This window comes from Homo sapiens, chromosome 5 (assembly GCF_000001405.40).
Source record: "Homo sapiens chromosome 5, GRCh38.p14 Primary Assembly".
NCBI lineage: Eukaryota > Metazoa > Chordata > Mammalia > Primates > Hominidae > Homo > Homo sapiens.
In genome coordinates this window covers 139,620,359-139,632,579 of record NC_000005.10, presented here as the reverse complement: position 1 = coordinate 139,632,579, position 12,221 = coordinate 139,620,359, and the positions used below count along the sequence as shown (strand labels likewise).

Sequence of the window (12,221 nt, the reverse complement as noted above, 5' to 3'; positions counted from 1 at the left end):
TAGGAGGAGAAACTGCCCACAACGACCAAATCAGTATTGCCCCTTAATCAGATGGGAAAAGCTCCAGACAACTGTCACCACATAGGTAGCTTAGCATTTGCCAACTACCTCAAACATGGAACACTTCTCTTACCCAAGATGGTGCTGGCTCTGCGTCCCAAATGTCAGATTGTATTTGTGGGTTGTTTCTAGAAACCTCCAAGTCAGAGGGCCCAGGAGCTTTGGAGCTTCTAAAGCAATCTCATTTTCTATGGAGAACTTTAAACCCAAGGAAAGCTGGCAATTTGAAGACTAGGTTTTAACTCAAAAAACCAAACCCTCCCCACTCACATTTTCCAGAGGCTCTAAAGTTTAGGGAAGGGTGACATCTTTTTAAGATTTAAGATTTTTAAGTACCAAAAAGGAAGTTTAAACAGAATTGAGAACAAGTGGCTCAGGGCAGGGAGAGGTGTGCCTGGGAAAATGGCAGTTGTCACTCCTCGCATCCTTAGAAGTTGGGAAAGGAACATGGTACATTCACCAAGGCTGCTGCTGCTCTTTCCTGTACAGCAGTCACAGGAGGCCTGGGCTGGACACTCAATGGCCTCTTCTTGGCTTTTCCAAATGGGATCAACCATTTGCTTTCAGAGTACAATGTTGGGCAATCAGGCTCCTCAGCTCTGGAAAAAACCATTCTACCAATAACAACTTACACAGGACGTTAAGAACAAACACACAAACCACCACTCAATCAAGGAAAACTATTAAGCTGCTGTCTTGGCACTAAGGTATTCATATAGTTTTACATCTGCTAAGAGGCAGATTACGCTGTGTCTCTGATCAGATAAAGATCCACAAATAGTTTAATTTAATGAAAAGTGACTGCTCATCACAAAAATGTCTGCCTTTGCCTTACCCAGACCAGGAGTAGACATAGAAAGAGCAAAGCTGGTTGGTGATTGTATTATACATTCAGCCAGAGGACAAAGGCCTTAAAGGCTTACTTAGTCCTAACCATTGAGCTTTTCTCCTTACATTGACTAAGGTAAAATATGCCAGCAATGAAGGAATTGCTTCATGAATAGTAACCCTGACAATGTGATCCCGTCTCATTTCCCTATTTCTAAGCCCATCTGAGAAATTGGTCTGGAAATATACTGAGGGGCCTGAATATCAACCACTTATACCAGTCCTGATTAAAAAAGGTTATAGTGCCAGGGAAACACTTAAAGAAGGTTTTTGTGGGATGGAGAAAGCCAGTTTTCATCTAAGTGCATGCACAATATAAAAGAAAATAGGCTGGGCGAGGTGGCTCATGCCTGTAATCCCAGCACTTTGGGAGGCCGAGGTGGGTGGACTGCTTGAGCTCAGGAGTGTGAGGCTGCAGTGAGCCATGTTTGCACCACTGCATTCTAGCCTGGGCAAAAAAGTGAGACCCTCTCTCAAAAAAAAAAAAAAAAAAAAAAAAAAAACCACACACAAAAAAAGAGAAAAGAGAGAAAGAAAAAGAGAAAGAAGGAAAGTAAAGAAAGAAAAAGGAAAGTGGGGAAGGAGGGAGGGAGGCAGGCAGGCAGGCAGGCAAAGGGCAGGGGAAGGGAGGGAAAGGAAGAGAAAGAAAGGGAAAGGAAGGGAAGAAAAGGAAAATAGAAGGGACTAGCTCCAGGAGTGCCCCAAAGGAAGTCTATTTCCTCTTGCTGGATGTATAGTGCAAATAGTTTGCTACCTTCAGTTATTTTCATATTAAAAATCTGCTTTCTTGGCTGGGTGTGGTGGCTCATGCCTGTAATCCCAGCACTTTGGGAGGCCAAGGTGGGCAGATCACCTGAAGTCAGGAGTTCAAGACCAGCCTGGACAACATGGTGAAACCGTCTCTACTAAAAATACAAAAATTAGCCAGGCGTGGGTGGCATGTGCCTATAATCTCAGCTACTCAGGAGGCTGAGGCAGGAAAATCACTTAAACTTGGGAGGTGGAGGTTGCAGTGAGCCAAGATCGCACCACTACACTCCAACCTGGGCGACAGTGAGACTCTGTCTCCAAACAACAACAACAAAAAACAAACCTGCTTTCTCCTGCCTAACATCACTCACCAAAATAACCCATCACTTGAAATAGTGTTTCATAAAGGGAAAATGAGGAAATCAAAAGGAGATGGATTCCTAACACTAGTTACAGTTTTCTGTAGGAGTAATAAAAATGCTTACTCCTGATTTGGAAGGAAGGAAAGATGTGTTTATAATCCTGAAGACCTGGGAATGAGAAGAGAGTTTTTTTTGTTTTTTTTTTAAGACTGAGTTTTGCTCTTGTCGCCCAGGCTGGAGTGCAATGGCGCGATCTCGGCTCACCACAACCTCCGCCTCCCGGATTCAAGCGATTCTCCTGCCTCAGCCTCCTGAGTAGCTGGGATTACAGACATGTGCCACCATGCCCGGCTAATTTTGTGTTTTTAGTAGACACGAGGTTCCTCCATGTTGGTCAGGCTGGTCTTGAACTCCTGACCTCAGGTGATCCGCCCACCTTGGCATCCCAAAATGCTGGGATTACAGGCATGAGCCACAGGGCCCAGCTGAGAGTTCTCCTCTTCAAAACTTACCCTGGGTAGTTAAGGGGTGCCATACAGCACACAGAGACAAAGCCAGAGTTTCACCTTAATTACAGACAAGGGACAGTTTATAGGCATTCCAGCCATAATTTAGAAATAATCCATTTCTCCTGACAAGCTACCCAGGTCTCAAAATAACTTGTTGAAACAAAGAGGAATGATTCAGAAAGCAGAGTATTTTAGCAGTTGGAAGTGGAAAAAGAAGGCCTCTATTGCTAGGTTAGTGTAGAGAAAGGGTCTCTCTCTGACAACTACCTTTTCCTTCTCTTCACAGACCTTCCTAACTTCTCTCTCCCCACCCCTACCGCCCTCCTTCCAAGTCTCTGTACTACTCAAAGTGCATAAACTCGCAGGACAATGATACCTTTGACTACTGATTCGCCAATAGCAAAGCATATAAGTATCTGAAGTGACTTCATTTTACCAAAAGACACTGCCCCAGCTTTAACTTGACAAAGTACTTTGGGCTATTAAGAAGCAAACAAAAGGAAACCATACACTTGACGTTCTCCTGTAACTTTTCCAAGATAATCAAGGTTGCTACAGACTGGATTTTACATACGACAAAGTCATAGAAACTTCTGTGAAGAGCAATGTGGTCCAGATGAAAACAACCCTGAGGGATTTTTTGTTGTTGTTGTTGTTTTTGGTGAGTGGGAAAGGTGGCTTCTCTCACTGGGCTTTCTTTCTGGCCAGGCACATATACACAGACTGGACCAAAGAAGCTTCATACTCAAATGGGCAAGACCAAACCCCATTCAAGGGCCTAATGTTGTTTGTGACCATCCAAACCCCTTCAATTGGCACCTGCACACCTGGAGGATGGCTTTCATTTGGCACTTAAAAATACTTAAGAACACTCTTGTGAAAATATCCATATTATGATCTAATAAATGGTAATAAGCTGGCTGCTCTCTAAGATGACAGGCAAATACAGAATGAGCTTTCAGGATCTGTGCAACTGACCCACGGTCAACAGTATGTAGTTAATAGCAAGCCAATAATTGATGGAAGGCTGGGTATGGTGGCTGTCTCTAGTCCCAGCACTTTGGGAGGCTGAGACAAGAGGATCACTTGAGCCTAGGAGTTCAGGACCAGCTTGGGCAACATAGTGAGACTCCTGTCTCTAAAAAAAATTTAAAAATTAGCCAGGTGTGGTGGCATGTACCATAAGTCCCAGCAACTTGGGAGGTTGAGGTAGGGGGATTGTTCGAGCCTAGAAGGTTGAGGCTGCAGTGAGCTGTGCTGTCATGACTCCGACTGCACTCCAGCTTAGGCAAGAGAATGAGACCCTGTCCCTCTCTTAAAAAAAAAAAAAAAAAAAAAAAAAGATGAAGTCCCACTTGCCCATAATACTGAGAATACAGGGTGATTTTAGGCTTAAGCTAAATTCTAACTCCTTTCCCCACAACTGTTAACAGTTAAGCCTTTTCTGCAAAGTCAAGGATGCTAATAAGAGATGCTTGAAATGCTTATAAGAGAACTGTAAGAGGTTTTGGGTTTTATCACACAAGTTCCAAGGTGGAGGAGCAGTGACAGTGAGAGATAAGACAAGGTGAACAAGTTTAAAACCAAAAGCAGTGGACATTTATTCCTTAACTTTTGTGCAAGAGTGTAAAGATGCATTTGAAAGAACCTGATGGCTAGAGCATCAGCCATGGCTTTCAGGTTGGCCTAGTTTACAATTAGGAAAAGAAGGGGGGAAAAAAGGTAACTTGCCTAGTTCACATGAATGATGTTTCTGGCAAACACAGTTGTTTACAAGTTTCAAGCTATATTTTACTAGGGTCAAGGGAAGACTTCAAAAAGCCACATACAGTACAATTTAAAATTGTGTGAACATCCTGCAAATGTTAGTGCAAAGTAATTATGTAGACTCTCCAAACAAGACTGTGCTCTTGTTTCCCAGGTTTGGTCAATGTTGCTCTTTTATAATTACAATCACAGAAGCTTAACTTACCAAATAGCAATGCCTCTGTGTTTTATGTCCTATGTACCAAGGGAATGTCACAAGGTTTTGATGAAATGCAGCTTAGTTTCATTAATAAAGCAAATTTCTTATTGAATTTAACAATCAAGTTCCTGGAATGCTGCATGTGTTGTTTCATGGAAATGCTCTTAAGCTTATGCCTCTAACTTGTTCAATAAAATTACTCGTAAGATATCCTTTTTACAATGTAACTGGAATTGTTTCATGATCTTAAAATGCAACCAGTATAAATGAACATTTCAGAAGTGGGAGAAAATCCACCACTAATCTCAGCTAGACAAACTTCTTAAAAATGAAAAAGCCTATTCACACAAAATTATATGTAATGACTGTAGTAACCAGTTTATTACACAGATTAATCATTCTTGAAAGTACAAGCTCCAGAGGAGCAATTGGGTCTTTAAATATACACAAGTATTTCCATCAAATGAATTTTCACCCTTACATCCAAATAGACCTAAGCGGTTAAAAACATAAGAAAAATAAGAGCTATTAGCTATGTATTAACTGAGAAACCACATACAAACCAAAGAATATGGAAGAGAGAAAGAAGGGCTGAAAGGCCAAAGGTTGAAGGGGTAGGGAGATGTAAAAGAGTTGGGAACAAAGCCCATCACACTTGATGTACTAATAGCTCCAATCCATTTAAATGTTGACCAGTTAAACTTAGACCTTAAAATGCAGGATGTGGGTAGAGTTTAATCTGGTTGGTCATAACTTTCACCTAAGACGTAGCTCCTTCGGAATAAAATGAATACAGACACAGCTTCATGTTCTTCACCTTGCTTTTCATAACTGTTTTGAGTTTAAATGGATTCCACTTAAAAATAATCTCCTATAGGTGAGTGGAGCCTTTTCTTTCCCATCCAAGCACACACCATACCCACCACCCCCCTCACACCTTGCTGTTATCCAAATTTAAGTCAATAAGAAAAGCTTTTAGTCTCACACCTAGGTAATGCCTGTAGAACTGGCTTGTCACACACACACTTCTCTGCTAGGAGGCAATGTTGGTACAGAAGTACAGTATTTCTAGTTTGTTGTTCCAAGTATGTACAACACGCAGCACTGCTGTATCAGGTAAACATGTGCACAGGGGAAGATGAGGCGTGGGCTCATAGAAAGCAGTCAAATGGAAATCAAAAGGACTTTCTCTTTCAGAGTTCCCCTATCTTTATTTGTAGAGGTTATCCAATAATTTCTTTAATTACATCGCATACTTCTGAGTCCATTCCCGAGCTATTCTGTTGTACCTGTACACACAAAGAGAAGCTTGGCTTAACATAGGTGTGGAGTCAGTAAGCAACAGATTCCATTCATTATCCCATCAAGTAACTTGAAGAGAGTAGCTTATAGGACATTCAAGGAAAGGCCCCTTTCTATCCCAAATTTCTGATAAGGATTAATTCAATGATAATGGGAAGGAGCTGTAAAATGTGAAAGTCTCCTTTAATTGCTACTTATAGAGGGTTCTGATTAAATTTTAGTATTTGTTGGCATATACCTTATTCCATACTTGATTGGCCTATTTCTACAAAAGATGTCCACTCAATTCATTCATTTAAAGTACTTGAAATTATATGATTCTACATTACATAGTTCTTGAACTCATATACTAATAATGATTAAACCGACAGAAGGCTGGGCATGTTGGCTCACACCTGTAATCCCAGCACTTTGGGAGGCTGAGTCGGGTGGATCACTTGAGCCCAGGCGTTTCACACCAGCCTGGGCAACATGATAAAACCCTGTCTCTACAAAAAAATACAAAAATTAGCAGGGTGTGGTGGCGCATGACTATAGTCCCAGCTACTCAGGAGGCTGAGGTGGGAAGATCGTTTGAGCTCAGGAGGCAGAGGTTGCAGTGAGCTGAGATTGCAATACTGTACCATAGCCTGGGTGACAGAGTGAGGCTCTGTCTCAAAAAAAAAGGGGGAAAAAAAACCAAACTTTCCTTTCATATCAATAAAACAATTGGTTCTGGTAGAACTAATTTCAACAATTTGGTTGACAAAATGAATGGGTTTATTGCTTCAGAAGAACATTTGAATAAAGTAAGCAGAGCAAATGATTCTATAATTCTCCTATTAAAAAACGGGTGCTAGGCCGGGTGTGGTGGCTCACGCCTGTAATCCCAGCACTTTGGGAGGCTGGAGCAGCTGGATCACTTGAGGTCAGGAGTTCCAGACCAGCCTGGCCAACATGGCAAAATCCCGTCTCTACTGAAAACACAAAAATTAGCCAGGCATGGTGATGTGCGCCTGTAATCCCAGCTACTCAGGAGGCTGAGGCACAGGAATCACTTGAGCCTGGGAGGCAGAGGCTGCAGTGAGCCAAGATTGTGCCACTGCATTCCACCTGGGCAACGGAGCAAGACTCTGTCTCAAAAAAAAAAAAATTAGCTGGATGTGATGGCATCTGCCTGTGGTCCCAGCTACTTGGGAAGCTCAGATGGGAGGACTACTTGAGCCTGGGAGGTTGAGGTTACAGTGAGCTGTGATTGTGCCACTGCATTCCAGTCCGGGCAACAGAGCAAGACCCTGCCTCAAAAAAAAAAAAAAAAAAAAAGGGGGGGGGGTGGGGGTGGGTATGCTGGCCTTGCACGGTAACTCATGCCTGTAACAGCAGCACTTTGGGGGGCTGAGGCAGAAGGCCTGCTTGAGGCCAGGAATTAGAGACCAGCCTGTGCAACATAGTGAGATCCTGTCTCTACAAAAAAAAAAAAAAAAAAACAAATTAGCCAGGTGTAGTGGCATGTACTAGCAGTCCCAGCTACTGGGGAGGCTGGAAAGGTGTAGTGGCATGTACTAGCAGTCCCAGCTACTGGGGAGGCTGGGGTGGGAGGATCACTTGAGCCCATGAGTTTGACACTGCAGTGAGCCACGATTGTGCCACTGTACTCCAGTCTGGGCTGAAGAACAAGACCCTGTCTCTGCAAAAAAAAAAGTGGGGGGTTAGAGGGTGGGGGCAGTGCAGTTTGGGAAAGTTCTGTTCAACAGTGTTCAACATTACTCCATGATGACTTGGGAAATGACTTCTGGTAAGCATTCAGACCCACAATTCTAAATATCGGACAAAACAGTTCTCTAATCAAAAAAATTTGACAATAAATTCACAAATAGGAAAAAGCAAGAACCAACTACTGTTAGAATATCCCATTCCCAGTGTTACCTCCACTAAAAACAAAAACGTATCTATGCCTCTCTAATCCACTAGAACTCAAGTTGGAGACGTGAGTCTTGCTCTGTCGCCCAGGCTGAAGTGCAGTGGTGCAATTTCAGCTCACCGCAACCTAAACGTCCTGAGTTTAAGCAATTATCTCAGCCTCTCGAGTAGCTGCGATTACAGGTGCCCGCCACCATGCCCGGCTAATTTTTGTATTTTTAGTAGAGACGGGGTTTCACCCCGTTGGCCAGGCTGGTCTCAAACTCCTGACCTTGTGATCTGCCCACCTCAGCCTCCCAAAGTGCTGGGGTTACAGGCGTGAGCCACTGCGCCCGGCCCTAAAAGAACTATCCACCCTCTCCTATCTAGTTCCTCTTATAACTTCACTGAATACTACATAAAACAGATGTTATTAGTGCTGGGCATGGTGGGCATGCTTATAATCCTAGCTACTCCAGAGGCTGAGGTAGGGAGTTTGAGACCAACCCAGGCAACACAGCAAGACTCCATCTCAAAAGAAAAAAAGAAAAGAAAAAATGCTACTAGAACACTTTTAGCTACTATCTCTTTTGATATCTTGACCACTGTTCAATAATTCATAGTACAATTCTAAAATACCCAAATTCTACATCAAGTTTTGTTTTTAAAAGAAATTTGGGGCTTTCACGTCTAATGGCATTTATTTGCTTTCTTCCTTTAGATTATGTCAAATGGTAGGAAATCAATTCTCTTTTCCCATTAATTGACAAATACCTATGGCAGGCAAATGGGCACTTGATGAAAAGTGCTTTATATATCAAAAGCCAAGCATAAGGCATTAAGCTGTTGAAAAATATACCATAGGAAAGTTTTTGTATGGGTGTGGTGGCTCACACCTGTAATCCCAGCACTTTGGGAGGCCTAGGCAGGCAGATCATTTGAGGTCAGGAGTTCGAAACCAGCCTGGCCAACATGGTAAAAGTCTCTACTAAAACTACAAAAAAAACGAACCTGGCGTGGTGGCCTGCGCCTGTAATCCCATCTACTCGGGAGGCTGAGGCATGAGAATCACTTGAACCCAGGAGGCGGAGGTTGCAGTGAGCCAAGACTGCACCATTGCACTCTAGCCTGGGTGACAGAGTAAGACCCTGTCTCAAAAAAAAACAAACAAAAAAAAAAGTTTTTGTAGACAAGAGGAGTCACGTGAAACAATCAGGGATAAGACTGGCATCATCTACTTATAATAATACTCAATGCATATATTTCTCTTTTCTAGCCCCAGGAGAGTATATTAGGACTTCACTTTAAATATCTGGCCGATATTCAGCCCTTAAACAAGAAAGATTTGTGACAAACATCTCCATCCCACCACAGATAACTTTCCATCTTGAGGCCATACTTACTTTTCTCTATCTGTTTTGTAGATCCGAGCAATCTCAGGCACTAAAGGATCATCTGGATTGGGATCACACAACAGAGAACAGATGGACAAGAGTACTAGAATGAAAAAAATCATATAAATTAGCAGAGGATCAAAGCAAAGGGTTGAGAGAAACATGAGACGCCAAAACATGAGAAAATTCTAAGAATTTATACTGTAATGCCTAGCAGCTTTGTAAGTTTTACTTAACTTTATATTAACAGTAACCAACAAGGATTATTATTATTATTATTATTTCTTTTTTTTTTAGCAGAATTGGGGTTTCACCATGTTGGCCAGGCTGGTCTCGAACTCCTGACCTCAGGTGATCCACCCACCTCGGCCTCCCAAAGTCCTGGGATTACAGGCTTGAACCACCATGCCTGGCCTAATTTTTGTATTTTTAGTAGAGATGGGGTTTCGCCATGTTGGTCAGGCTGGTCTGGAACTCCTGACCTCGTGATTCACCCGCCTCGGCCTCCCAAAGTGCTGGGATTACAAGCGTGAGCCACCACACCTGGCAAATAGTTTTTTTTATTTTTTATTTTTTGAGACGGAGTCTGGCTCTGTCGCCCAGACTGGAGTGCAGTGGCGCGGCGCGGTCTAGGCTCACTGCAAGCTCCGCCTCTCAGGTTCACACCATTCTCCTGCTTCAGCCTCCTGAGTAGCTGGGACTACAGGCACCCGCCACCACGCCCGGCTAATTTTTTGTATTTTTAGTAGAGACGGGGGTTTCACCGTGTTAGCCAGGATGGTCTCGATCTCCTGACCTCGTGATCCGCCCACCTTGGCCTCCCAAAGTGCTGGGATTACAGGCGTGAGCCACTGCACCCAGCCTACCAACAAGGATTTTAAGAAGCTTAAACAGACTTTAGGTTAGGTCATTAAAAAATAAAAATGAAGGCTGGCTGCAGTGGCTCATGCCTGTAATCCCAGCACTTTGGGAGGCGGAGGGGGGTGGATCACGAGATCAAGAGATTGAGACCATCCTGGCCAACATGGTAAAACCCCATCTCTACTAAAAATACAAAAATTAGCTGGGCGTGGTGGTGTGTGCCTGTAGTCCCAGCTACTCAGGAGGCTGAGGCTGGAGAATCGCTTGAACCTGGGAGGTGGAGGTTGCAGTGAGCCGAGATCGTAGCATTGCACTCCAGCCTGGGCGACACAGCAAAAAATCCATCTCCAAAAAATAATAATTATAATAAAAAATAAAAAATAAAATAAAACAAATAGCAGAAAATTAATGTTAAATGACATCTTGGTCTCCCAGATACAAATATAAGCCCCTTTGTGCAAAGTCTCACAACAATCCCATGATGTAAGAAGAGTTGATATGACTGTCTTTATGCCTGAACTCCTAAGGGAGCTGGCCCAGACAGGTGCAGTGACGTGTTCAATGTCCCTGGCTAGTAATTAGAATAGAATTAGAACTTTGTCTAAATTCTAGACCAAGAACATTTTTCAGATCCCATAAAGTTCAATTTTTTAGAAGCCCATATTCAAGGATAAATGGCTTTCAAAATTCCAAGTGCGATGGCTCACTCCTGTAATCACAGCACTTTGGGAGGCCACAGCAGAAGGATCGCTTCAGGCCAAGAGTCTGAGACCAGCCTAGGCAACAGAGTGAGATTCTGTCTCTACAAAAAATAAAAATATTAGCTGGATGTGGTGGCACACTCCTATGGTCCCAGCTACTCAGGAGGCTGAGGTGGGAGGATCACTTACGCCCAAGAGGTTAAGGCTGTATTGAGCTGTGTTCACACCACTGCACTCCAATCTGGGTGACAGAGTGAGACCCTGCCTCAAAAAGAAAAAAAAAAAAGACAGCCACACTACTGAATATTCTTAGCAAAAACGACAACCATAAAATCCAACAATCACTGTTTTCCAGTGGCAGGCACCACATTCAGACAATTGTTTTGTTTAATTTTCAGTTGAAAACAATTCAGTCTAAATCAAGAACATAAATGCAAACACTTGCCCCTAAATGGGGATGGTCATACACTCATTACAGAGAATACAACATACTTCTATGAATGTCTCAAATTCTCTTCAGTGACAATTTAGAATCTCATCTAAGCCATTTCCTCGGTGACAACCTGGGATGTAGCAGACAAATCTCAATAGTGTAATTTCCTTTGTTCAAATCTGTCATTAACTTATGTTTTAAAATATTTATTTATTTATGTATGTATTTATTTAGAGACAGGGTCTCACTCTGTCGCCCAGGCTGGAGTGCAGTGGCATGATCTTGGCTCATTGCAGCCTAAACCTCCTGGGCTCAAGTCATCCTCCCACCTCACTCTCCAGGTAAGACTACAGGTGAGTGCCACCATGTGTAGCTAATTTTCTTTGTATTTTTTGTAGAGGTTGGGTTTTGCCATGTTGGCCAGGCTAGTCTTGATCTCCTAGGCTCAAGTGATCCACCTGCCTCGGCCTCCCGAAGTGCTGGGATTACAGGCGTGAACTACCACACCCGGCCATATCTATCATTAACTTATGCATTCCTTACTGAATGCAAAGGGGGCATAAAGTCACTGATTACATTAAGTTCAGTAGCCTCTGACAAAATAAATTTAAATCCTTCTATACTAATGCTAATAGAGCTCAGCCATCTTTCTTTTCTCTAATAGGTGTTCTGTACCAAGAGATAATAACTCTCAGCCCATTTTACTCCCAACACATAAATTCAGCAGGGAAAGGATTCGCTCATATTCCTACCAAATCTATCCTATAGAGATCAAGGGCTTCTGAGAAGTAAAGAAATAGTTGGCATGCCCTATTCAGTTTGGTAACAAAAATGCTATTTCCTTGCCTTAAGAGTATATGAAAAGTTTTTTTAAAAAATCAGGAGAGATGTTTTCTGACTCTTCATTCCTGTTACCCACAATTCTGGCAGCTGGCATTCCAAAAACATTTTCCTATTGTCAGGTGTCATCACCTGAAGCCCTCTTCAAGCATAGAACATTCTAACATCAATTAGGAAAGACTTCATGTATTTCCTGGAAATGACAACAGGGAAGTTAGAAATTTTTGAATGTTCCTTTAACTTATTCTTCTAAATATTCTAATAAGTCAACTTTAAA

The 12,221-nt window shown here is 42.6% G+C and overlaps 1 protein-coding gene across 4 annotated transcripts in view; it reads right to left on the bottom strand.

Annotated features, from left to right (window-relative positions):
• Positions 1–4,145: 4,145 nt before the first annotated feature.
• The window catches only part of UBE2D2 (ubiquitin conjugating enzyme E2 D2), a 102,195-nt gene continuing 94,119 nt past the window's right edge, over positions 4,146–12,221 (bottom strand). For all 4 annotated transcript variants that reach the window (XM_047417691.1, NM_181838.2, NM_003339.3 and 1 more), the window contains 2 exons: positions 9,119–9,212; positions 4,146–5,824 (listed from right to left, as the gene is read on the bottom strand). In XM_047417691.1, the coding sequence (XP_047273647.1) occupies positions 5,779–5,824; positions 9,119–9,212 (140 nt within the window). In that variant the 3' untranslated portion in view covers positions 4,146–5,778. The remainder of the gene's footprint in view (positions 5,825–9,118; positions 9,213–12,221) is intronic.